This window comes from Homo sapiens, chromosome 14, assembly GCF_000001405.40.
Source record: "Homo sapiens chromosome 14, GRCh38.p14 Primary Assembly".
Taxonomy (NCBI): Eukaryota; Metazoa; Chordata; class Mammalia; order Primates; family Hominidae; genus Homo; species Homo sapiens.
In genome coordinates this window covers 54,868,276-54,895,356 of record NC_000014.9, presented here as the reverse complement: position 1 = coordinate 54,895,356, position 27,081 = coordinate 54,868,276, and the positions used below count along the sequence as shown (strand labels likewise).

At 42.3% G+C, this 27,081-nt stretch overlaps 1 protein-coding gene, 1 non-coding gene and 1 pseudogene across 8 annotated transcripts in view, besides 5 other annotated features; all 3 read left to right on the top strand.

Moving 5' to 3' along the window:
- Nucleotides 1–27,081, top strand: part of GCH1 (GTP cyclohydrolase 1) — a 60,810-nt gene that overhangs the window by 7,470 nt on the left and 26,259 nt on the right. Inside the window, exon 1 of one of the 7 annotated variants that reach the window (NM_001424105.1) lies at nt 11,987–13,815. The exons of the other annotated variants lie outside the window; for them this stretch is intronic. Within the exon in view, the coding sequence (NP_001411034.1) occupies nt 13,767–13,815 (49 nt within the window). The 5' untranslated portion in view covers nt 11,987–13,766. Of the gene's footprint in view, nt 1–11,986; nt 13,816–27,081 lie in introns of those variants that run through there. 7 annotated transcript variants of the gene reach the window in all.
- Nucleotides 4,394–4,643: an enhancer, noted in NCBI's record as "active region_8421". NCBI's record gives its function as "activates an Ori minimal core promoter by ATAC-STARR-seq in GM12878 lymphoblastoid cells {active_cell/tissue: GM12878}" and the evidence as "EXISTENCE:reporter gene assay evidence [ECO:0000049][PMID:35858748]".
- FDPSP3 (farnesyl diphosphate synthase pseudogene 3) lies at nt 9,113–10,550 on the top strand (annotated as a pseudogene).
- Nucleotides 13,201–13,290: an enhancer, noted in NCBI's record as "active region_8420". NCBI's record gives its function as "activates an Ori minimal core promoter by ATAC-STARR-seq in GM12878 lymphoblastoid cells {active_cell/tissue: GM12878}" and the evidence as "EXISTENCE:reporter gene assay evidence [ECO:0000049][PMID:35858748]".
- Nucleotides 13,731–13,980: an enhancer, noted in NCBI's record as "active region_8419". NCBI's record gives its function as "activates an Ori minimal core promoter by ATAC-STARR-seq in GM12878 lymphoblastoid cells {active_cell/tissue: GM12878}" and the evidence as "EXISTENCE:reporter gene assay evidence [ECO:0000049][PMID:35858748]".
- Nucleotides 14,101–14,150: an enhancer, noted in NCBI's record as "active region_8418". NCBI's record gives its function as "activates an Ori minimal core promoter by ATAC-STARR-seq in GM12878 lymphoblastoid cells {active_cell/tissue: GM12878}" and the evidence as "EXISTENCE:reporter gene assay evidence [ECO:0000049][PMID:35858748]".
- MIR4308 (microRNA 4308) lies at nt 17,164–17,244 on the top strand. The gene has a single exon (NR_036194.1). It is a non-coding gene; the product is annotated as a microRNA 4308 (primary transcript).
- Nucleotides 24,046–24,651: an enhancer, noted in NCBI's record as "NANOG-H3K27ac hESC enhancer chr14:55337424-55338029 (GRCh37/hg19 assembly coordinates)". NCBI's record gives its function as "activates a minimal SCP1, AML or CMV promoter by ChIP-STARR-seq in primed H9 embryonic stem cells {active_cell/tissue: H9 hESC(primed)}" and the evidence as "EXISTENCE:reporter gene assay evidence [ECO:0000049][PMID:30033119]".

The window sequence follows — 27,081 nt, the reverse complement described above, 5'->3', positions numbered from 1 at the left end:
TTTATAAATCATGTTAACAGTTCAAAATTTTGGGAAGCATGCATATAATCCAGCGTGAGGAGATGGCATTGGAGATGGCTGACTGCTTCCCTGTGAGGGCTGAGGAAGCACAGACACTGGCAGTGAGTCATATCCCCACCTCAGCCATTTTCACTGGAAGATTATGTCTATTCGCTAAAGATAATGGGAGGCAATTAGATACTTTGTTTATACAAAAATGCATCTTAGACACTTCATACTGAAATGTAGCAATCACAAAAGGTTTTTCTTTTTGAATCACAAACCTCTCGGATTTATTAAATTAGACTGCTGTGGTGAACTAAGAATTTTAACAACTTCTAAGATGTGAAGAGGAACAAAAACATAAACTATTTACTATTCTCTCCTATATCATGGGTGAAAGGTGAGTTTATATCCCAAGTTTTAAAGTATATTATAGAAATGCTCTTCTCATCATTAAAAGGTACTATTTTAGATGTGTAGCTCACTCAAATTTTGATCCATTAATAATTTTTGTGCTTGGTTTGTTAATGAACACTTATATAGGACTTAGTTGTGTTCATTGCCAGAAAGAGCACTGTGAATAAAGAAGAAAAAATAACAAGGCACTTTTGACATATTATATGATTGGAATTTTGGACATGTCTAAGTGGAATAAAACAGTTAAGAAGTTACTGAGAAAGGGGGAGAAAAGCCAATCCTAATAGTTTCTTTTAAAAATGGATTATCTATAAACAATTTTTCTGACATGGGAAGAAAAATCAATATACATAACTTCACTATAGCAAGCAAAGCCTTCAGGTTGGTACTCGTACTAGATTCCCAGGGCTGCTATCACACAGTACCGCAAACTAGGTGGTTTAAATGACAGAAATAAACAGTCTCACAGTTCTAGAGACTAAAGTTCCAAAATCAAGGGGTCAGCAGAACCATACTCACTCCAGAACCTGTAGTGGGGGAGGCTGTCCTTGCCTCTTCCCAGCTTCTGGTGGTGGCCGTCAGTTGATGGTGTTCCTTGGTTTGAGCTGCGTCACTCCAGTCGCTGCCTCTGTCAGTGTCCATGTTTTTGTTTTGTCTTATAAGAATGTCAGTCATATGAGGCAGGGTCCACTTTACTCCAGTATGCCTGTGTTAGTTTAGCTAATTACATCTGCAACAACCCTACTTCCAAATAAAGTCACATGCTAAAGATACCTGGGGTTTAGGACTTCAACATATCTTTTTTGGCGAATGGCACAATTCAACTTGTATTAGTACTAAATACTATTATTAAAAAAATTAGTAGGAATTTTACTACAATTTCATTGATCATCAAGTACTACGCACTTCACTGAACGCTGGGAATGCAGGATGAGCAAAACCAGGTATAGTTCCTGCCTTCATGGAACTTACAGCCTAGCAGATAGAATCACATGAAATAGAAATGTGTTGTGAGATTGAGAAATGTGATGATAAACAAAAACACAGCTCAGTGAGAGCACTTGGCATAGGAACTTGACCAATGCCAGGAGATGGGAGCATGAATGGGTGAAGCGATGCTTAAGCCGACTGATGTTCTGAGTAACAAATACTGCTGATGGCTTACTTTGTGCTAAACAGTGAGTTTTTACATGTGTTACCTCATTTGATCCTCACAGTAGCACGATGGGGTAGGCAATATTATTCCCATTTTATACATAAGGAAATTGGGGCACAGAGAGAACTTTCCCAAGACTGTATCTTGAAAGTGGCGGAGCTGAGAGGATGATATAGAAAGAGAATCATTGTAATCTCTGGTAGGTGATTTAATTTTAATAATAATATTTTACTGATTTATTTGAATGATTTCTCCCTTCTTCCTCACCTATCCCCGCTTTTGTATTTTCTCTGCTATTTGCTTTGTCCACCTCTAGAAACCCTTCCATGCCTGGGCATTCCCCACCTGACTCATTTGCCAGTGATTTCTATATGAGGACTGTAATTTGAGTCTAGTATTTGGTTGAGTAGACTGCAGTGTTAAAACTCACCAGGAGAGGGCAACTGTCTAATCATTGGATCCCAGATTATGAATCCTGGATTATGTGAACAATTCTCAGTTCCAGGTTATGCAAACAAATATGTTTCCCATGGTTATAAATTTGCTAGAGTCTATAGTAATTAGATTGGGATATAATTTGTGTTGGGTTATGCAAAGAGTATCTGAACCAAGTTAAATCTGTTATACTCAAGGCCAAGAGGACATTCATTTACTAGAATTTTATTCTATTGGAGCCCATTAGTAGAAATATTTATTTATTTGGAGGCAGAGTCTTGCTCTGTCACCCAGGCTGGAGTGCGGTGGCATGATCTCAGCTCACTGAAACCTCTGCCGCCCAGGTTCAAGCAATTACCCTGCCTCGGCCTCCCGAGTAGCTGGGATTACAGGTGCCCACCACCATGCTCGGCTAATTTTTGTATTTTTAGCAGAGACAGGGTTTCACCATGTTAGCCAGGTTGGTCTCCAAGTCCTAACCTCAAGTGATTGGCCTGTCTCAACCTCCTAGAGTGCTGGGATTACAGGCATGAGCCACCGCACCCGGCCGGAAACATACAATGTTTGTCCTTCATGTCTGGCTTATTTTACTTTGCAAAATGTCTTCAAGGTTCATCCACATTAAAAACATCTATTTTATTTTTATTTTTATTTTTTGAGATAGAGTCTTGCTCTTCCGCCCAGGCTGGAGTGAAGTGGTGTGATCTTGGCTCACTGCAACCTCTGTCCCCTGGGTTCAAGCAATTCTCCTGCCTCAGCCTCCTGAGTAGCTGGGATTACAGGTGCCCACCACCATGCCTGGCTAATTTTTGTATTTTTAGTAGAGACTGGGTTTCACCGTGTTGGCCAGGCTGTTCTTGAACTCCTGACCTCAGATGATCCGCCCGTTTCTGCCTCCCAAAGTGTTGGGATTACAGGCGTGAGCCACCACATCAGTAATTCATTCTGTACAATGTTGTATATTCTCAACACATATTATATTTTAATTTCCTTATTTCAAGAAAACCTTAGAATTGAAGATACAGTAGTTCCCCTTATCCTTGGGGATCTGTTCCAAGACCCCCAGTGGGTGCCTGAAACTGAGGGTAGTACCAAACTGGATTGCCATCATTCAGAATAAATTTCTGTTTGTGTCTTCTACCCACAAATTTCATGCCTTTTCCATCTTAACTAAGCACTTACCATGTGCTGTGGCCATAGCTTTTGCAGTCTGAAGTACAATAACAATACTAGCATGAATTTTTTTTTCCTCCTTCACAGTTTCACAGATAGAAGATTTGTTCTTAATATAGTTTTAGCAACCTCAGCGTAATGATTTTGTTCATTAATAAACTGAGAACTTTAATCTTTTTCACTTGAAGGAAACACAGCTTCTCTTTGGCATAACTGAATTGCCAACGTCACTACTCTTGTGGTTTAGGGCCATTGTTAAGTAAAATAAGGGTTACTTGAAAACAAACACTGCAAAACTGAAGGTTGATTTGATCACTGAGATGGATACTAAGTGACTATTAGGTAGGAAGCATAGACAATGTGGATGCTCTGGACAAAGGATTGATTCATATTCTGGGCAGAAGGGCTGGAGATTTCATCGCAATACTCAGAATAGCGTGCATTTTAAAACTTATGAATTGTTGGCTGGATGCGATGGCTCATGCCTGCAGTTCCAGCACTTTGGGTGGCCGAGGCAGGTCACTGACTTGAGCTCAGGAGTTAGAGACCAGCCTGACCAACATGGCCAAACCTCATTTCTACAAAATGTACAAAAATTAAGCAGGCATAGTGGCATGTGCCTGTAATCCCAGGTACTCGGGAGGCTGAGGCACGAGAATCACTTGAACCCGGGAGGCGGAGGTTGCAGTGAACTGGGATTGCACCACTGCATTCCAGCCTGGGTGACAGAGGGAGACTCTGTTTAAAAAAAAAAAAAAAAAAAAAAATGCCAGGCATGATGGCTCATGCCTGTAATCCCAGCACCTTGGGAGGCCAAGGAGGGCGTATCATTTGAGGTCAGGAGTTCGAGACCAGGCTGGCCAACATGGTGAAACCCCCATCTCTACTAAAAATACAAAAAAATTTGCTGGGCATGGTGGTGCACACCTGTAATCCCAGCTGCTAGGGAGGCTGAGGCAGGAGAATTGCTTGAACTTGGGAGCCGAAGGTTGCAGTGAGCCGAGATTGTGCCACTACACTCCAACCTGGATGACAGAGTGGGACTCTGTCTCAAAAAGAAAACAAACAAAAAAACCTTATGAATTGTCTATTTCTGGAGTTTTTCATTTAGTATTTTCAGACCATGTTTGACCAAGGGTAACTGAAACTGTGAAAAGTGGAACTGTAGATGGTCTCTATGAGTAGTCACTGTTAAAGGGGAAACAAAGATGATTGTTGGCCTGATCTTGGCCTTCAAGGAGTAAAGGGGTTCTGTGTAGTCAGAGGGAAGCTGGGTGCTTCTGGTGGAGAGACAGGAAAGTCCAGATGTTATGGAGAAAGTAGCTTTTGAGTTGAACCTAGAAGGAAATTCATTTTGAGTTTTTTTGGGTTGTTTGTTTTTTGCAGAACGTGTCCATGCTGGTTTAGAGATTATGGTCTAAGTGTTTTTCAATAAAAGGCATACACTAACATTCATAGTTACCTGTACCAGAGTTAAAATTAAATGGAGTTTTCAAGGCAATTAGATTTATTTTAAACTTTTAAAAGATCAATATTAATGGCATTAGGGCCAGCTCCTTTATCTGATGTCTTTAAAGTTCATTCTGGCCATAGTCAACCCTTGTAATGAATTTTAACCTGACACATGTTGCTACTTCATCTAGTCTTTGTAACCTGGTTATTTATTTATTTTTTGAGATGGAGTTTTGCTCTTGTTGCCCAGGCTGGAGTGCAATGGCGCGATCTCGTCTCACCGCAACCTCCACCTCCCAGGTTCAAGCGATTCTCCTGCCTCAGCCTTCCCAAGTAGCTGGGATTATAGGCATGCGCCACCAAGCCTGGCTAATTTTGTGTTTTTAATAGAGATGGGGTTTCTCCGTGTGGGTCAGGCTGGTCTCGAACTCCTGACCTCAGGTGATCCGCCCACCTCGGCCTCCCAAAGTGCTGGGATTACAGGCGTAAGCCACCGCTCCCGGCCTGGTTATTTGTTTTATCTGCAATTATTCTTTCTCGTGAATCCCCTTGGCTAATCATGCTCACAAAGTTCTGACACATATACCACCTGAATATTTCTAGAATCTGAGTCATCTTTCACTTAAATTACAATAACCTCTTAACTGGCCTTCTTGCCTCCTAGCTTGTCCTGCTCTGATCCATTCATGCCAAAGTGATTTTTCTAAAATTGAATAAGTTTTTTCCTTGCAAAAAACACTTGATTGATTTTCTGTTGTCTTTCCTCACCATTGCTGTGAGGTTTTGTTCTGTTGTAGCCTCTTGCTACATTTTTTGGCATTTTTTTCTTATCTTCCATCGCATTTCCTCATATAGGGCAATTTAGTATTTTAGTTTAGTGCATAGTTTAGTGCACAGTTAATCTGAGAAACCACTCTGTCTCATTTCCTTGCTGGAGCTGGAGACCCAGGTGAAGATCCTGAGGTTTGTTCTTTTGCAATGTTTGGCCTTTATTATCTGCCCTCCTCCTGTAATTTATTTTACTGTCCTTTTTGTTTTTGGTTGGCAACCATGGGGAGGTGGCTGCTGCCTCTTGCTTATCAACAACTGTTGCTTATGGAGACTTCTGTGAACAAGCAGCCAGGTTTAGGTGAGGAAATTGGCCGTGACTGAATTCTGGGTGAATTTTTCGAGGTCCAGTTGGTCCAAATGTTTGTGATGTGCAGTCCTAAGAGGCCATGGCTCTTCCTGTGAAGTGTGATGTGTTTTATGTATCACACATTAGTTTTTATTTGTCCTAAGCAGGAATCAGAACTCAGTTCAATAGAGGCCATTGGCAAACATCCCAAACAAGGAATCTCTCACTAAAATAGCTTAAAATATAATTTTACCTGTGTGGTCTAGGCATTTGTGGTACAGTGTTCGTTAGCAGTGAGGAAGGGCTATGCGTGCCTGGAGATCAGATGAGAGGCCTTAACTCAGTGAGGTCGCTGACTAGTTGACTTTAAGGCATAGCTGCTGTAGATCATACCCCTCTAATTGACCCCACCATTTATCGTTTATCACATGGGCAGCCCTGGAGGTATGCCTCTCTGATGGCCTATCAAAAAGAATCTGCCCTTCAGCTTCAAGGAACAGTTTGCTGACAGCCTCCAGCTGTTAGTGCTGTCAGGCTTTGCCTCCACGGAGGCCATACTTATCCCATGCTGCGTGTCCTTTCATTTTGGTGTCATCTCTTTCTCCCCTTCTACCCCTCCTCCACCACAGTAAACAGCTTTTTGAGGGCTGGGGCTGTTTATAAGTGAAGTAGTTTATAAAAAGTAGATGCACATCTTTCAGCTTCATATTTAGCATGTTGGAAATTCTGTTCACTGATCTAATTCTGAAATCTCCTTGGTATTTCTTAAACTAGTTGTATAGGCTGGGTGCAGTGGCTCATGCCTGTAATCCCAGCACTTTGGGAGGCTGAGGTGGGCAGATCACCAGGTCAGGAGATCGAGACCATCTTGGCTAACACGCTGAAACCCTGTCTCTACTAAAAATACAAAAAAAAAAAAAAAAATTAGCCGGGCGTGGTTGTGGGCGCCTGTAGTCCCAGCTACTCGGGAGGCTGAGGCAGGTGAATGGTGTGAACCCGGGAGGCAGAGCTTGCAGTGAGCGGAGATCATGCCACTGCACTCCAGCCTGGGCGACAGAGTGAGACTCCATCTCAAAAAAAAAAAAAACTAGTATGTCAACAAAGCTTTGTGCTGCTGTAATGGGAAGAACAGCTAGCCTGGGCTAGTAATATGCTAACTGGTTTATGAACTTAGGTAGGTGAGTCACTTGACTATTCTGGGTCTGTTCTGAAGGGAGAGGCAGTAGGACTAGGAGTTAAATTGTCATGCCGAGGTCTCTGAGCATGGGTGGGCCTGTCAGAATTGTCATCGCTCACTCTGTTGACTTCCAGCAGCTGACAGGCAAGGCCCTAGGAAGCTCTTCAGCCTCCTTTCCTTGCTAGAGGTGCTGTTTTCCCTGGAAATGTTCAAGCCCTGCAAATCGTTTCTATAGTAACAGGTCTCTGTCTTTTTTCTTATGATGCAGATTTTTGAAAAGGTTTCTTATCTAAATGTTCTTGGGATCTATGGTCTTCCTACCTGTAGCTCCTTTGATTAGACAGAGCCTTTATTTAAAGACTTTTCCCCCCAAGAATGTTGTTGTTGCTTCTACCAAAATAATAACCAGTTGTTAGTTTTACTAGTGCTTGAAGTTTTAGTTTATTAATAAAGCTTCATATAAACTAGAAAAGGAGTGGTTGGGTAGAATAGTAATACCGAAAAAACTAATATTCACTGTTAGTCTCATGTATTTGTAAACTTTAATTTTTTATTATGTAAAACCTTCAAACATAAAAGTAGTCAAAATTATATAATAGACACCTATATACTTACCACCTAGATTGAAAACTAACATTCTGCCATATTGGCGTAGTTTATTCGTTTACTGATAGTAAATCAGAGACATGTATTTAGAGGTGAAATGTCACCCTAAAAAGCGTTTTTCTTAATGATTTACACCACCCTTAGTAAAATTAGCTATTCATTCCTTCATATCATCTAATACCTAATATATATTCACATTTCCTCAGGTGTCTCAAATGTCTTTTACTAATGATTTTTTCCAACAAGGATCCACTCAAGGTCCATACATTTGCATTTGATTATTACGTTTTAATCTGGAATAGCGCCTACCGCCCCCAACCCCTGCCACTGCTTTATCAGAGAGGTCAGTTGTCCTGTAAGATACTCTACCTTTATGATTTGTATGATTTTTGTTTGTTTGTTTTCATTTAACTTCTATATTTCTCATATTCCTGGTAACTGCAAGTCAGGTCTAAAGACCTCACTAAATTCCTGGAAAACATTTTTAGCAGGAATGCTCTGTACTTCATGCACTGTCACAACTGGGAGACACTAAGTATTTGGATCTTGAAGATTTAAAGACTTCTAATTGGTTTTTAAAAGCCCTGTTTCACTGGTTTTCTAGGATAAGCTTCTCTAGAGAAGTTCCTTTTTAAAAAATGTTTTATTAGTTTGAAGATTTAATGGGATTTTCCTTTCCCCTGAAATTCTTCCAGTTTGATTTCAAAAAGAAAAGGTCAACATAGCATTACATTTCTGAATTTTCCCTCAAATAAGCCAAATAAATAGTTGGTGAAACAGTATTTTGTGACTGATGCGCACCACTTTGGTTCTGGCAGTCTCTGGGCATTAGGCCACTCTTTCTGCTCTGCTCTCCTGGCTGACAGTTTATAATGGATTTTACTTTTCTTTTAAAAAATCAGATTTGCTGTCTTTTGCTGTCATCAGCTCTGGGCCTTGTCACCACATGGCAGACTTCAACCTACAATAACCCCTGATGCGTGTTTCCTGAAGGGGACCTCTCCCCTTCAGTCCACACTTCTAGTAGGTTGAGTTCAGCCCAAGATTAAGGCTCTGGTCTGGAGTCAGAAGATGGGTCAAAATCTAGCTCTCCCACCGGCTGGTTGGCTCTTCTTCAGCAGTCAGCTAGTGTTTCCAAATGACAGTATCTGTGTCCTCATCTGTAAAGTCGGGACAATAACTGGTGTTTTTTTTGTTTTGTTTTGTTTTTTGAGACAGTTTCACTCTGTCACCCAGGCTAGAGTGCAGTGGCGCGATCTCGGCTCACTGCAAGCTCCGCTTCCCGGGTTCACGCCATTCTCCTGCCTCAGCCCCCCGAGCAGCTGGGACTACAGGCACCCACCACCGCGCCCGGCTAATTTTTTGTATTTTTAGTAGAGACGGGGTTTCACTGTGTTAGCCAGGATGGTCTCAATCTCCTGACCTCGTGATCCACCGGCCTCGGCCTCCCAAAGTGCGGGGATTACAGGCATGAGCCACCGCGCCCGGCCTATAACTGGTTTTGACTAATGCGAGTTGTGGTAGGGCTTGAAAGAAATCACAAACTAAATGTAAAATTTAATTTGAAAAATGCTGTCCAAGCAGGAACTCACATCCAGGAACAAAATGAATGGAGACCAGAAATCCAGATATGTATGCCCAAGAAAAGCAGAATTTTATCCAGGACTTCTCCCAGGTTGTCAGGATGCTGACTGAGGATGAGATGGGGCACCCAGAGACAGGAGAGTCTATTACCTGGCTCAAAGAGGTCCTGGAGTACACTGCCACTGGAGACAAGTACCACTAGGGTTTGATGATGCTGGTAGCATTCCAGGAGCTGGCAGAGCCCAGGAAACAGGATGCTGATAGTCTCCAGCAGGTCCTGTCTGGGCTGTTGTGTGAACTGCTGTAAGCTTGCCCGTTTTTTTTTGTTGTTGTTGTTGTTTGTTTTTTGAGATGGAGCCTAGCTCTGCCGCCCAGGATGGAGTGCAGTGGCACAATCTCAGCTCATTGCAACTTCCACCTCCTGGGTTCAAGTAATTCTTGTGCCTCAGCCCCCTGAGTAGCCAGGACTACAGGCGCATTCCACCGCACCCAGCTAAGTTTTGTATTTTTGGTGGAGACGGGGTTTCGCCATGTTGGCCAGGCTGGCCTCGAACTCCTGACCTCAGGTAATCCCCCTGCCTTGGCCTCCCAAAGTGCTGGGATTACAGGTGTGAGCCACTGCACCTTGTGCTGCAAGCTTTCTTCCTGGTGGCAGATGACATCAGGGATTCATCCCTCACCTTGCTGGGGGCAGATCTGCTTGTATCAGAAGCCAGGTGTAGGTTTGGATGCCATCAATGATGCTATGCTTCTAGAAGCATCTATCTATCACCTGTTGAAGCTCTGTTGCTGAGAGCAACCCCATTACCTGAACCTGAAAAAGCACTTCCTGTGGAGTTCCTATTAGACAGAGATCAGGCAGACCCTGGACCCCATCACAGCCCCCCAGAGCAATGTGGATCTTGACTGGTTCACTGAAAAGAGGTACAAATCACTGTCAAGTATAAGACAGCTTTCTACTTCTTCTACCATCCTGAAGCTGCAGCCATGTCTATGGCAGGCGTCAGTGTGGGGAAGGAATGGGCCAATGACAGGAAGATCCTGCTGGAGTTAGGAGTTCTTTCAGATTCAGGATGATTACCTTGACCTCTTTGGGGACCCTACTGTCACCACTGGCAGAGTTTGTACTGACATCCAGGACAACAGATGACAACAAATGCAGCTGACTGGTGGTTCAGTGTCTGCAATGGGCCACACCGGAACAGCACCAGATCATGCAGAAGAATTACAGGGAGGAGGCACTATATGAGGAGCTGGATCTGCTGACCATGTTCTTGGTATGTGGAAGATGGTTACAGCCACCTTATGGGTCTCATTGAGCAGTGTGTTGCACCACTGCCCCCAGCCACCTTCCTGGGGCTAGCGTACAAAATCTCCAAGCAACTGCAAGGCAGGGAGAGGAGGCTCTCAATAAATTACTGTGTAATCTTTTTTTTTGTTGTTGTTGTTGTTGTTGTTGTTGTTTTGAGACAGAGTTTCACTCTTGTTGCCCAGGCTGGAGTGCAATGGTGTGGTCTTGGCTCACTGCAACCTCTGTCTTCTGGGTTCAAGCGATTCTCCTGCCTCAGCCTCCCAAGTAGCTGGGATTTCAGGCACCCGCCACTACGCCCGGCTAATTTTTGTATTTTTAGTAGAGATGGGGTTTCACCATGTTGGCCAGGCTGGTCTCGAACTCCTGACCTCAAATGATACGCCTGCCTTGGCCTCCCAAAGTGCTGGGATTATAGGCGTGAGCCACTGCGCCCGGCCTACTGTGTAATCTTACAAAAAAAGAAAAAAAGAAAACAATGCTCTAAAAGAGAAGGGAATTTTGTTTCTGTTCCATGCATAGACCTACACAGGCTTTTTTCCTTTTGCTGTTTCCCACTTCCATATCTTATTTTATATGGTACTTTTCTTCCTTTCCCTTTCTAGGAAACCCTCCCTCCACCTTTCCTCCTACTCGACCTTTAGGCCTGGGTAAAATTTTAATCTTCAATACAATCATATTGTTTTGTCTCAGCCCACAAGTTTTCATTTATGTGAACTATCAGTTTTACAATTTAACCTCTAGTCATTCTCCAAATATTTTTACACCTAGGCCTCTTATTTCTGCAGATCTCAAGTTGCTTGAGGTCATGGTTTGATAGATTTGTTTTCAGCTCAGAACTATGAAAACTTTATTGTATTACCCTAGACATTGATTTCTAATGAGTTGGTTGTAGGATGCAACTGGTTTCTTAAGTGGGGGATATTTTTCTAGAATGTGGGTACAACTTTCTGATGTGAGGTCCTCACAAATTTTTAAACTTTGCTCCAGCAAAAAGAACCACGTAGAGGTTCTCTACCTGGGTCCTTCCTGCCTCACCTTCTTTAGGTGGAGTTGGCTCCAGTTTCCTCCTTGTCTCTGCCTCCACCCCACCCCTGCCCCAGGCCTCATAGTGTTCCACAGGAATGACGTGGTGACTGTAGTGAGGGTTACAGTGAAGAATTGCCCACTGTTTGGCCTTGCTGAACAGCAAATTTGGGCCAGCAGTGGGTCTGTTTTCTCTCTTTTCTTTTTATTTATTTATTTTTTTGAGACAGAATCTTGCTCTGTCTCCCAGGCTGGAGTGCAGTGGCGTGATCTCGGCTCACTGCAAGCTCCACCTCCTGGGTTCACTCCATTCTCCTGCCTCAGCCTCCCGAGTAGCTGGGACTACAGGCGCCTGCCACCACGCCCAGCTAATTTTTTGTATTTTTAGTAGAGACGGACTTTGTCCGTCTTAGCCAGGATGGTCACGATTTCCTGACCTCGTGATCCACCTGCCTCGGCCTCCCAAAGTGCTGGGATTACAGGCGTGAGCCACCGCACCGGGCTTTTTTTTTTTTTTTTTTTTTTTTTTTGAGTCGGAGTCTCACTCTGTCGCCCAGGCTAGAGCGCAGCGGCGCAATCTCTGCTCATTGCAAACTCCGCTTCTCGGGTTCAAGCAATTCATCTGCCTCAGCCTACCGAATAGCTGGGATTACAGGCACGCGCCACCGTGCCCGGCTAATTTTTGGACTTTTAGTAGAGATGGGGTTTCACCATGTTGGCCAGGCTGGTCTCGAATTCCTGACCTCGTGATCCACCTGCCTCATCCTCCCAAAGTGCTGAGATTACAGGCGTGAACCACCGCGCCCGGCCAGCAGTGGGTCTGTTTTCAACCCTCATGTACCCTCAGCTCTCAAGCCTGTGTGCTCCCACCCCAGCCAGTCACCAGAATCACATAGATTTTAAAACGACTTATCCTGGGTCCATCCCTACACATAGTAAATGAGATTTTTGCTGGGTAGCTTGGGACGCTATATTTTCCAAAACTCCCTGTTGATTGGCTGTATTTGGGAACCCCTGTTGCGAAGGAAGATCCCTTATCTCTTCATCTGTCACTAATGATGGTGGCTTGCGCACTCTGATGGTACTTACTTGGATGGGATTACAGATGGTTCCATCACACCCATCTGTATGAAATCTCGTGGTATAAGTGAATGTAGGATGATAAGGGACGAGCCTATTAGAGGCTTTTGAAGCAAATGGATAGTTTAATCAGATTGGTGTGTTTTTTTTTTCTGTAGAACTGCTGTGAACTAGACCTTGTTATCACCATCTGTTTCGTAAATTCCATTTTCGGTTTAACAGCTGGATTGTGAAAGATATACAAAATTATCCAGTTAAAAAACTAAATTTGGCAAGTGTGTGTGTGTTTTTAAAAATGACTCCTTGAATACACTGTTTTGATTCCTTAGACAGTTTCTAAGGCTCTAATTTTGGTCTACCAGAAATATTCAGAGTAGTAAACTGAGACCAGAAAGGCGAGTTCTTTGGCTTGGATAACTTTGAGAGTTAATAGTATACATGATTGGCAGCCTTCAGTTTTATCCAGCAATAAATCTAAACAGTTTAAAATAAGTACTTTCCCCTTACCTCAGTACAGAGAGGCCCTGGCCACTGCCATGCACATCTCAGAAGCTGAGCAGTGGGGCAGAAGGATAACTTGTAATTTGGCATCAATGTCCAACACCCTTGAGCTCTGGACTCTTTTATTCATTCCTTCTACTTTACCATTCTACATCTTGAACCACTGTGCGTGCGGTTCCCCTAAGAGGCAGTAAAGTAATTGCATCAGGGTGGAGGGATTTTATGTGCTTTCACTTTCTCATTTGATTATTTCTACATCTTACCGATAAACTTCCATGAATATTACTGTTGTAATGAGGAGCAAAATGTTAGTAAAGATAACTTTATACGTGAAAACTTGAACTCTTACCAAGAAACGTAGTGTTTGTGACAAGGCTGGCTGAGAGGATGAGAATAGCTCATCAGTACTGGGTTGGCTGAAGGAAACATGCATGTCAGTACTATTTTGAGGGCAGCTGAGAACATCTATTTCAATAGCTTTGGCTATATTTTAATAGCTAAGAGCAACATATGAATTTGTCTCTGCCAAAGATGGAGTGAAAATTTCCAAAATAACCAAACTTTTACTTTTTTTGCAATACATTAGGTCTTTCCTGCTGACAAACCTACAGTTTATGAAATAAGTTTGTGGAGCATATCAAAGCTGTGCGGCAGCTCTGTGCACTCCAGCAGATGGTGTGACTGGTTGTCTGTAGTCGTCTTAGTTTCCGCCATTGTGTCAGTCTGTGGAATGTTTGGGTTCATGCTTATTTTGGCCAAGTTTTCCAAATTCTGTCTTGGTAAGTACAAAAAGCTGTGAGTGTCGGAAGCTCTAACAAGAGGTGTACTCATGATGAAAGTGAAAGCAGAGAGAGCGATTTTTTTTTCCTCTTTGAATTTGTTTTAACATGCTCTTACTTGTAGGACAAATTTTTCAAACAGGTGGTAGAAAGCAAAACATCTTAATGCCATCTTCAGGGCAGAAGACTTTGAGTTGCAGGATGTGATTTAGGGAGGATTTTGAAAGAGTTTGCAGCACTGCGTGAAGCTGGCTGGGTCTTCCTGTGTACTCCTCCTTGCCCTCCTCCTATAGCCCCTCCATGCAAAGGTAACCTGTTTTTTTAATGTTTGTTTCTTTTTAAAATTTTTTTATTTTTATAGAAAAAACAAATGCCAGCATGTGTATGAAGACCTTAATTTAAAAAAATATTTTTATTGGCCTGGCGCGGTGGTTCACACCTGTAATCCCAGCACTTTGAGAGGCTGAGGAGGGCGGATCACCTGAGGCTGGGAGTTCAAGACCAGCCTGACCAACATGGAGAAACCCTGTCTCTACTAAAAATACAAAAATTAGCCAGGCATGGTGGCACATACCTGTAATCCCAGCTACTCGGGAGGCTGAGGCAGGAGAATCGCTTGAAGCTGGGAGGTGGAGGTTGCGGTAAGCCGAGATTGCAGCATTACACTCCATATATTATGGAGTATATATATATGGAGTATATATATATATGGAGTATATATATATATATATGGAGTATATATATATATATGGAGTATATATATATATGGAGTATATATATATATATGGAGTATATATATATGGAGTATATATATATATATGAGTATATATATATGGAGTATATATATATGAGTATATATATATGGAGTATATATATATATGGAGTATATATATATGGAGTATATATATATGGAGTATATATATATGGAGTATATATATATATGGAGTATATATATATGGAGTATATATATATGGAGTATATATATATGGAGTATATATATATATGGAGTATATATATATATATGGAGTATATATATATATGGAGTATATATATATATGGAGTGTATATATATATATGGAGTATATATTTATATGGAGTATATATATATATGGAGTATATATATATTTTATATATTATGTATTATATAATATATATTATATTATATATAAAATATATATTTTATAATATATTATTAATGAAATTTCTCACATATACAAGACTGTATGAACAAGTTTAATCAAAATACATTGGGTTTTGACAAATCTTAGTATTTTGCTATAATTGCTTTTAAAAAATACAGATAGTTTAAACTTCCTAGTTATCACTTCCTGATCCAGTTATCATCTCACTACAGAGGTAACCACTATACTGAATTTGGTCCCTAACTTTCTTTTTTTTTTTGAGATGGAGTCTTGCTCTGTTGCCCAGACTGGAGTGCAGTGGCATGATCTTGGCTCACTGCAACCTCCGCCTCCGGGTTCAAGCAGTTCTTCTGTCTCAGACTCCTGAGTAGCTGGGATTGCTTTCATGTCTTTTTTTTTTTTTTTTTTTTTTTTTGAGACAGAGCCTTACTCTGTCACCCAGGCTGGAGTGCTGTGGTGCAATGTTGGCTCACGGCAACCTCCGCCTCCCAGAATCAAACGATTCTCCTGCCTCAGCCTCCTGAGTACCTGGGATTACAGGCATGTGCCACCACACCCAGCTAATTTTTGTATTTTTAGTAGAGATGGGGTTTCACCATGTTAGCCAGGCTGGTCTTGTACTCCTGCCCTCATCGGCCTCCGAACGTGCTGGGATTACAGGCGTGAGCCACTGCGACCGGCCTCATGTCTATTTTTATACTTTCATTTTCTGTATATGTTTACAAACAACATGTAACATTGTTTTTACTTAATTTAAATGGCTCATACTCTACATATCCTTCTGCTACACGCTTTTTACACTGAATATCCTTTCAAGGATTTATAAATGCAGCCCAAATTTACTGACTTTCATTGCTGGGTCATATTTTATTGTGAGTTTACCCAAACTGTGTAATTGTTCTTCTGATTCACTCTTCTCTATTTTTGCTATTACCAACAAGATGGCAGTGATTTTTTTTTTTTTTTTTTTTTTTTTTTTGAGACAGGGACTTGCTCTGTTGCCCAGGCTGGAGTGCAGTGGTGTGATCTGAAGTCACTGCAACCTTCGCCTCCCAGGTTCAAGTGATTCTCGTGCCTCAGCCTCCCAAGTAGCTGGGACTACGGGTGCATGGCACCACATCCGGCTAATTTTTGTATTTTTAGAAGAGATGGGTTTTCACTATGTTGGCCAGGCTGGTTTTGAACTCCTGACCTCAATTGATCCACCTGCCTTGGCCTCCCAAAGTGCTGGGATTACAGGCGTGAACCACTGTGCCCAGCTGAAAATTCTTATGTTCCCTTGGCTGCATGAATTTCTTTGGAGTCCCTTCATTTAAAAATGTATTTTAAGGAAGTGAATTGGTCCAGCGTGGTGGCTCACACCTGTAATTCGAGCACTTTGGGAGGCTGAGGTAGGAGGAGCTTGAGCCCAGGAGTTCAAGATCAGCCTGGGCAACATAATGAGACTCTGTCTCTACAAAAAAATAAAAAATTAACTGGATATGGTGGCATACCTCTAGTCCCAGCTACTGGGGAGGCCAAGGTGGGAGGATTGCTTGAGTCTGGGAGATGGAGGCTACAATGAGTGGTGATTGCACTGCTGCACTCCAGCCTGGGTGACAGGACGAGACCTTGTCTCAAAAAGAAAAAAAAGTGAATCATAGAGTAAAGACAGACATATTAATTGAATAAACACAGAAGATCTATGTTTAACTCCAGCTTTGTGCATGGTGTTACAGGGAAGTGTGTAGAAGCTCCAAAGCCTTCAGATATAATGCTTAACTCAGAAACTTATAGCCCAGTGTGTCTGTGGGACGTGGGCACAAATAACCATGGTACTACGAGGCATGATGAGATAAGCGCTGTATGCTGGTGGAGGTAGCTCTGATATTAGATGGAACTATGAGGGTCTGGACCATTCTCCACCAAATCAGGATAGGCTTATCTTTGTTAGCACCTTGAGTTGATTTAATTCCAGCCAAAAGCAGAGGTGTGATGCCCTAGGCACTTCTCTCTGTCTCTTCTCTTAATTTTAAAACCAGTAGGCAGACTCCATTAGCTCTTTCCTATCCTTTAGGATGGATGCTCACTCAGATGTTCCAAGTCATCTTCCACTGTCTTTTAACTCTGTCCTTCCAGGGAGATGCGTCAGGTGTCCGGCTTCCTCAGAGAGCTGGAGTTGTTGGTGCTGATCACCAGATACTCCAGACGGCACTAATTCCTATACTATGGGTTCAGAGGGAACTCCATTGGACAGAAATTTCCTTTTGAGGAAATCTTTCCCTGGAGTTTCTTCTTACCTTTTTCCCTCACTTTCTCCACAGCAGAAACAGGTCTGTTTGTCCTTAAATATTTACCTATATATTTGAGTAGGAGCATTTTGAAGAGATGAAGTTTCTGTGTAGCAGCACAAAACATGAAATAGTTCAAACCAGGGGCACTCTGGTTCTCAGACCGGGAGCTTCAGGATCTTCTGGGAACTTGTTAGAAATGCAAATTCTCAGGTCTGCTCAGATCACCTGAAACAGAAGCCCTAGGGGTGGGGCCTAGAGATTTGTGTCTTAACAGGCCCACAGCGGGAGTCTGGGAACCCCTGTTTCGAAGTATGCTTAAATAAGCACTTGGGGGCCAGGCATGGTGGCTCATGCCTGTAATCACAGCACTTTGGGAGGCCAAGACAGGCAGATCCCTTGAGCTCAGGAATTTGAGACCAGCCTGGGCAACATGACGAAACCCCATCTCTACAAAAAAATACAAAAATTAGCCAGGCATGGTGGCTTGCGCCTGTAATCCCAGCTACTCAGGAGGCTGAGGTGGGAGGATCACCTGAGCCTAGGAGGTGGAGGTTGCAGTGAGCTGAGATTGTGCCGCTGCATTCCAGCCTGGGCAACAGAGGGAGACCCTGTCTCGAGAGAAAAAAAAAAGCACTTGGGCTTGTATTGTGGGCCTGTCTTACTATACTTTCAGAAAAGGGTCTGGCAGACTAAATACTTGAGGGATGTTACCCAGCAGTGTTATTTGTTGACATTGCTTAATTATGAATGACATGAGAAAGGTATACCTGAAAACTGACATTGTGTGGTGTTGTTGTAGACAAACCTTTAACTTGTGGAGGCTGCTTTCATTTTGTTTGTGGTTGTGACCAACCGTAGGAAACAGAATGCCATAAATCCCTGTTTCCAGGGTTACCTTCTTGCTGCTGATAACAGGCAGGAAATTAAAACAATATGTGATAGTGTTCTGTTCTTATTACCTACAGATGGTAGCTTTTAGATATGTTGGAGCAAAACATAAGTAAATATAGCAGGGAAACTTTATTACTGAAGAAAAATGATTTGGCTAGGTCAAGGTTATAGTCTGGTTCATTTTAATAAAATGGGGCATAGGCAACATATCAGTGTTCCATTATCACATGAAGCATTTAGCTGTATGAGGATCACTAGATTTTTTTTCTCTTTGATTTAATTTTGAGTATGTAAAACATTTACATGATTCCAAGGTCAAAACTGTGTAACAAATTATATTCAAAGATGCTTCCCTTTCATCCATATCCCTTCTGTCTCTTCTCTTACTGCTTTGCAGGTAATCATTTTTACTAGCTTCTGAATTTATCCTTCCAGTGTTTCTTTTTGCAGATAAGCATATACATTCATATGTATATGTCATATGTTCATAGCTCCTCCTTCCACTTTCATTACACAAAAGGCTACATACTATACTACAATTTTAAAAATTATTATTATTATTATGATTTTTAGAGACAGGGACTTGTTCTGTCACCCAGGCTGGAATGCAGTGGTGTAATCATAGCTCACTGCAGCCTCAAACTCCTATCCTGGGTTCAAGGGATCCTCCTGCTTCAGCCGCCTGAATAGCTAGGACTATAGGCACATATCACCATGCAGTACTTTATAATTTTTTTTTTATTATTATACTTTAAGTTTTAGGGTACATGTGCACAATGTGCAGGTTTGTTACATATGTATACATGTGCCATGTTGGTGTGCTGCACCCATTAACTCGTCATTTAACATTAGGTATATCTCCTAATGCTATCCCTCCCCTCTCCCCGCACCCCACAACAGGCCCCGGTGTGTGATGTTCCCCTTCCTGTGTCCAAGTGTTCTCATTGTTCAATTCCCACCTATGAGTGAGAACATGCGGTGCTTTTTGTCCTTGCAATAGTTTGCTGAGAATGATGGCTTCCAGCTTCATCCATGTCTCTACAAAGGACATGAACTCATCATTTTTTATGGCTGCATAGTATTCTGTGGTGTATATGTGCCACATTTTCTTAATCCAATCTATCATTGTTGGACATTTGGGTTGCTTCCAAGTCTTTGCTATTGTGAATAGTGCCACGGTAAACATACGTGTGCATGTGTCTTTATAGTAGCATGTTTTATAATCCTTTGGGTATATACCCAATAATGGGATGGCTGGGTCAAATGGTATTTCTAGTTCTAGATCCCTGAGGAATCGCCACACTGACTTCCACAATGGTTGAACTAGTTTACAGTCCCACTAACAGTGTAAAAGTGTTCCTGTTTCTCCACATTCTCTCCAGCACCTGTTGTTTCTTGACTTTTTAATGATCGCCATTCTAACTGGTGTAAGATGGTATCTCATTGTGGTTTTGATTTGCATTTCTCTGATGGCCAGTGATGATGAGCATTTTTTCATGTGTCTTTTGGCTGCATAAAGGTCTTCTTTTGAGAAGTGTCTGTTCATATCCTTGAGAAGTGTCTGTTCATATCCTTCACCCACTTTTTGATGGGGTTGTTTGTTTTTTTCTTGTAAATTTGTTTGAGTTCATTGTAGATTCTGGATATTAGCCCTTTGTCAGATGAGTAGATTGCAAAAATTTTCTCCCATTCTGTAGGTTGCCTGTTCACCCTGATGGTAGTTTCCTTTGCTGTGCAGAAGCTCTTTAGTTTAATTAGATCCCTTTTGTCAATTTTGGCTTTTGTTGCCATCACTTTTGGTGTTTTAGACATGAAGTCCTTGCCCATGCCTATGTCCTGAATGGTATTGCCTAGGTTTTCTTCTAGGGTTTTTATGGTTTTAGGTCTAACGTTTAAGTGTTTAATCCATCTTGAATTAATTTTTGTATAAGGTGTAAGGAAGGGATCCAGTTTCAGCTTTCTACATATGGCTGGCCAGCTTTTCCAGCACCATTTATTAAACAGGGATTCCTTTCCCCATTTCTTGTTTTTGTCAGGTTTGTCAAAGATCGGATGGTTGTAGATATGCGGCATTACTTCTGAGGGCTGTGTTCTGTTCCATTGGTCTATATCTCTGTTTTGGTACCAGTACCATGCTGTTTTGGTTACTGTAGCCTTGTAGTATAGTTTGAAGTCAGGTAGCGTGATGCCTCCAGCTTTGTTCTTTTGGCTTAGGATTGACTTGGCAATGCGGTCTCTTTTTTGGTTCCATATGAACTTTAAAGCAGTTTTTTCCAATTCTGTGAAGAAAGTCATTGGTAGCTTGATGGGGATGGCATTGAATCTATGGCCATTTTCGCGATATTGATTCTTCCCACCCATGAGCATGGAATGTTCTTCCATTTGTTTGTATCCTCTTTTATTTTATGGAGCAGTGGTTTGTAGTTCTCCTTGAAGAGGTCCTTTATGTCCCTTGTAAGTTGGATTCCTAGGTATTTTATTCTCTTTGAAGCAATTGTGAATGGGAGTTCACTCATGATTTGGCTCTGTTTGTCTGTTATTGGTGTATAGAAATGCTCGTGATTTTTGCACATTGATTTTGTATCCTGAGACTTTGCTGAAGTTGCTTATCAGCTTAAGGAGATTTTGAGCTGAGACAATGGGGTTTTCTAGATATACAATCATGTCATCTGCAAACAGGGACCATTTGACTTCCTCTTTTCCTAATTGAATACCCTTTATTTCTTTCTCCTGCCTGATTGCCCTGGCCAGAACTTCCAGCACTATGTTGAATAGGAGTGGTGAGAGAGCACATCCCTGTCTTGTGCCAGTTTTCAAAGGGAATGCTTCCAGTTTTTGCCCATTCAGTATGACATTGGCTGTGGGTTTGTCATAGATAGCTCTTATTATTTTGAGATATGTCCCATCAATACCTAATTTATTGAGAGTTTTTAGCATGAAGCGTTGTTGAATTTTGTCACAGGACTTTTCTGTAACTATTGAGATAATCATGTGGTTTTTGTCATTGATTCTGTTTATATGCTGGATTACATTTATTGATTTGCATATGTTGAACCAGCCTTGCATCCCAGGGATGAAGCCCACTTGATCTGGTGGACAAGCTTTTTGATGTGCTGCTGGATTCGGTTAGCCAGCATTTTTTTGAGGGTTTTGCATGGATGTTCATCAGGGATATTGGTCTAAAATTCTCTTTTTTTGTTGTGTCTCTGCCAGACTTTGGTATCAGGATGATGCTGGCCTCATAAAATGAGTTAGGGAGGATTCCCTCTTTTTCTATTGATTGGAATAGTTTCAGAAGGAATGGTACCAGCTCCTCCTTATATGTCTGGTAGAATTCGGCTGTGAATCCATCTGGTCCTGGATTTTTTTGGTTGGTAGGCTATTAATTATTGCCTCAATTTCAGAGCCTGTTATTGGTCTATTCAGAGATTGAACTTCTTCCTCGTTTAGTCTTGGGAGGGTGTGTGTGTCCAGGAATTTATCCATGTCTTCTAGATTTTCTAGTTTATTTGCATAGAGGTGTTTATAGTATTCTCTGATGGTAGTTTGTATTTCTGTGGGATCAGTGGTGATATCCCCTTTATCATTTTTTATTGCATCTATTTGATTCTTCTCTCTTTTCTTCTTTATTAGTCTTGCTAGCGGTCTATCAATTTTATTGATCTTTTCAAAAAACCAGCTCCTGGATTCATTGATTTTTTGAAGGCTTTTTTGTGTCTCTATCTCCTTCAGTTCTGCTCTGATCTTAGTTATTTCTTGCCTTCTGCTAGCTTTTGAATATGTTTGCTCTTGCTTCTCTAGTTCTTTTAATTGTGATGTTAGGGTGTCAATTTTAGATCTTTCCTGCTTTCTCTTGTGGGCATTTAGTGCTATAAATTTCCCTCTACACACTGCTTTAAATGTGTCCCAGAGAGTCTGGTATGTTGTGTCTTTGTTCTCATTAGTTTCAAAGAACATCTTTATGTCTACCTTCATTTCGTTATGTACCCAGTAGTCATTCAGGAGCAGGTTGCTCAGTTTTCATGTAGTTGAGCAGTTTTGAGTGAATTTATTAATCCTGAGTTCTAGTTTGATTGCACTGTGGTCTGAGAGACAGTTTGTTATAATTTCTGTTCTTTTACATTTGCTGAGGAGTGTTTTACTTCCGTCAATTTTGGAATAAGTGTGATGTGGTGCTGAGAAGAATGTATATTCTGTTGATTTGGGGTGGAGAGTTCTGTAGATGTCTGTTAGGTCTGCTTGGTGCAGAGCTAAGTTCAATTCCTGGATATCCTTGTTAACTTTCTGTCTCTTTGATCTGTCTAATGTTGACAGTGGGGTGTTAAAGTCTCCCATTATTATTGTGTGGGAGTCTAAGTCTCTTTGTAGGTCTCTAAGGACTTGCTTTATGAATCTGGGTGCTCCTGTATTGGGTGCATATATATTTAGGATAGTTAGCTCTTCTTGTTGAATTGAATTGATCCCTTTACCATTATGTAATGGCCTTCTTTGTCTCTTTTGATCTTTGTTGGTTTAAAGTCTGTTTTATCAGAGACTAGGATTGCAACCCCTGCCTTTTGTTGTTTTCCATTTGCTTGGTAGATCTTCCTCCATCCCTTTATTTTGAGCCTATGTGTGTCTCTGCACGTGAGATGGGTTTCCTGAATACAGCACACTGATGGGTCTTGACTTTTTATCCAATTTGCCATTCTGTGTCTTTTAATTGGAGCATTTAGCCCATTTACATTTAAGGTTAATATTGTTATGTGTGAATTTGATCCTGTCATTATGATGTTAGCTGGTTATTTTGCTCGTTAGTTGATGCAGTTTTTTCCTAGCCTCAATGGTCTTTACAATTTGGCATGTTTTTTCAGTGGCTGGTACCGGTTGTTCCTTTCCATGTTTAGTGCTTCTTTCAGGAGCTCTTGTAGGGCAGGCGTGGTGGTGACAAAATCTCTCAGCATTTGCTTGTCTGTAAAGGATTTTATTTCTCCTTCACTTATGAAGCTTAGTTTGGCTGGATATGAAATTCTGGGTTGAAAATTCTTTTCTTTAAGAATGTTGAATATTGGCCCCCACTCTCTTCTGGCTTGTAGAGTTTCTGCCGAGAGATCAGCTGTTAGTCCGATGGGCTTCCCTTTGTGGGTAACCTGACCTTTCTCTCTGGCTGCCCTTAACATTTTTTCCTTCATTTCAACTTTGGTGAATCTGACAATTATGTGTCTTGGAGTTGCTCTTCTCGAGGAGTATCTTTGTGGCATTCTCTGTATTTCCTGAATCTGAATGTTGGCCTGCCTTGCTAGATTGGGGAAGTTCTCCTGGATGATATCCTGCAGAGTGTTTTCCAACTTGGTTCCATTCTCCCTGTCACTTTCAGGTACACCAATCAGATATAGATTTGGTCCTTTCACATAGTCCCATATTTCTTGGAGGCTTTGTTCATTTCTTTTTATTCTTTTTTCTCTAAACTTCTCTTCTTGCTTCATTTCATTCATTTGATCTTCCATCACTGATACCCTTTCTTCCAGTTGATCGAATCAGCTACTGAGGCTTGTGCATTCATCACGTAGTTCTCGTGCCATGGTTTTCAGCTCCATCAGGTCCTTTAAGGACTTCTCTGCATTGGTTATTCTAGTTAGCCATTCGTCTAATTTTTTTAAAGGTTTTTAACTTCTTTGCCATGGGTTCGAAATTCCTCCTTTAGCTTGGAGTAGTTTGTTCGTCTGAAGCCTTTTTCTCTCAATTCGTCAAAGTCATTCTCCGTCTGGCTTTGTTCCGTTGCTGGTGAGGAGCTGCGTTCCTTTGGAGGAGGAGATGCACTCTGATGTTTAGAGTTTCCAGTTTTTCTGCTCTGTTTTTTCCCTGTCTTTGTGGTTTTATCTACCTTTGGTCTTTGATGATGGTGATGTACAGATGGGATTTTGGTGTGGATGTCTTTTTTGTTTGTTAGTTTTCCTTCTAACAGTCAGGACCCTCAGCTGCCGGTCTGTTGGAGTTTGCTGGAGGTCCACTCCAGACCCTGTTTGCCTGGGTATTAGCAGCGGAGGCTGCAGAACAGTGGATATTGGTGAACAGCAAATGTTGCTGCCTGATCGTTCCTCTGGAAGTTTTGTCTCAGAGGAGTACCCGGCTGTGTGAGGTGTCAGTCTGCCCCTCCTTGGGGGTGCCTCCCAGTTAGGCTACTCGGGGGTCAGGGACCCACTTTAGGAGGCAGTCTGTCCATTCTCAGATCTCAGGCTGCATGCTGGGAGAACCACTGCTGTCTTCCAAGCTGTCAGACAGGGACTTTTAAGTCTGCAGAAGTTTCTGCTGCCTTTTGTTCGGCTATGCCGTGCCCCCAGAGGTGGAGTCTACGGAGGCAGGCAGGGCTCCTTGAGCTGCGGTGGGCTCCACCCAGTTCAAGCTTCCCAGCCGCTTTGTTTACCTACTCAAGCCTCGGCAATGGCGGGTGCCCCTCCCCCAGCCTCGCTGCCGCCTTGCAGTTTGATCTCAGACTGCTGTGCTAGCAATGAGCGAGGATCTGTGGGAGTAGGACCCTCCGAGCCAAGCGCAGGATATTATCTCCTGGTGTGCCGTTTGCTAAGATCGTTGGAAAAGTGCAGTATTAGGGTGGGAGTGACCTGATTTTCCAGGTGCCATCTGTCACCGCTTTCTTTGACTAGGAAAGGGAATTCCCTGACCCCTTGTGCTTCCCGGGTGAGGTGACGCCTCGCCCTGCTTTGGCTCACTGGGTGCGCTGCACCCCCTGTCCTGCACCCACTGTCCGACACTCCCCAGTGAGATGAACCCGATACCTCAGTTAGAAATGCAGAAATCACCCGTCTTATGCGTTGCTCACACTGGGAGCTGTAGACTGGAGCTGTCCCTATTCGGCCATCTTGGCTCCACCCCCACCCTTTTTTTTTTTTTTTTTTTTTTTTTGGTAAAAACAGAGTCTGGCTAGGTTGGGCAGTCTGGTCTTGAACTCTTGGCCTCTAGCAATGTTCTCACCTTCGCCTCCCAAAGTGCTAGAATTACAGATGTGAGCCACCGCACCCAGCCTAAAAATTATGTTTGAAGTTAGCTTTATTAAGGTGTCACTTATCTTATGTAAAATTTACCTACTTTACATGTACAATGTGAATTTTAACAAACGTATGCAGTTATATAGCCACCCATACAGTGAAGATAGGAACTATTTCCATCACCCAAAAAAGTTTCTTTCTTTCCTTTTGCAGTGAAGTTCTCTCTCCTACCTCTCTGGCCCTGGTAAACCACCTGTCTGCCTTCTATCACTATAGTTTTGCCTTTTCTAGAACATAGGTAGTCTCTTCTGTGTATGGATGTCTTCTTTCACATTGTAGTGTACTTTGGAGACTCAAACCATGTTATTACATGTATCAGTAATTCATTCCATCTTCTTGCTGAGTGTACTCCATTGTTTATATGTTCCAGTTGAGGGACATTGTCCTTTTGCTTTTTAGAAAACTTTTTATTGGGCCAGGCACGGTGGCTCACGCCTGTAATCCCAGCACTTTGGGAGGCTGAGGCAGGTGGGTCACCTGAGGTCGGGAGTTCCAGACCAGTCTGACCAACATGGAGAAACCCGATCCCTACTAAAAATACAAAATTAGCTGGGCGTGGTGGTATGTGTCTATAATCCCAGCTACTCAGGAGGCTGAGGCAGGAGAATTACTTGAACCTGGGAGGCAGAGGTTGCAGTGAGCTGAGATTGTGCCATTGCACTCCAGCCTGGGCAACAAGGGCAAAACTTCGTTTCAAAAAGAAAGTTTTTATTTTGAAACAATTTTAGACTGACTTACAGAATAATTATAAAGATAGTAGAGAGAGTTTTCATATACCCTTTCCCCAGTTTCTCCTGATGTTTAACATCTCACATGGCCATGGTACAATTATCAACATTTAAGAAATTAATACTGGCTGGGCATGGTGGCTCACGCCTGTAATCTCAGCACTTTGGGGGGCCAAGGCTGGCAGATCACGAGGTCAGGAGTTCGAGACCAGCCTGGCCAACATAGTGAAACCCCGTCTCTACTAAAAATACAAAAAAATTAGCTGAGTTTGGTGGCACGTGCCTGTAGTCCCAGCTACTCGGGAGGCTGAGGCAGGAGAATCGCTTGAACCCGGGAGGCGAAGGTTGCAGTGAGCCGAGACCACGCCATTGCACTCCAGCCTGGGTGACAGAGTGAGACTTCATCTCAAAAAAGAAATTAATATTGGAGCCAGGTGGTGGTGCATGCCTGTAGTCCCAGCTACTTGGGAGACCAAGGTGGGAGGATGGCTTGAGCCGTGGAGTTTAAGACTAGCTTGAGCAATATATCAAGATCCCATCTCTAAAATAATAATAATAATAATAAGGCCAGGTACGGTGGCTCACGCCCATAATCCCAGCACTTTGGGAGGCTGAGGCGGGTGGATCACGAGGTCAGGAGATCGAGACCATCCTGGCTGGCATGGTGAAACCCCATCTCTACTAAAAATACAAAAAATTAGCTGGGGTGGTGGCAGACGCCTGTAGTCCCAGCTACTTAGGAGGCTGAGGCAGGAGAATGGTGTGAACCTGGGAGGCAGAGCTTGCAGTGAGCCGAGATCATGCCACTGCACTCCAGCCTGGGCGACAGAGCAAGACTCTGTCTCAAAAAAAGAAAAAATAATAAAAATATACTTTATTTTAAAAAGTAATATTGGTACAATACTATTATTTAAACTACAGACTTTATTCAGATTTTCATTGTCATTTCTCTAGTCTCCTACAATCTGACAATTCCTTAGTCTTTCTGTGTCTTTCATGACTTTGATGCCTTAATTTTTTTTTTTAATTTTTAAACACTTAAAAAATAGAGACAGGATCTTGCCCTGTCACTCTATTTGGAGTGGAGTGGTGCAATCATAGCTCATTGTAGCATTGAACTGCTGGGCTTAAGTGATCCTCCTGCCTTAGCCTCCTGAATAGCTATGACTATAGGAGTGTGCTGCCGTGC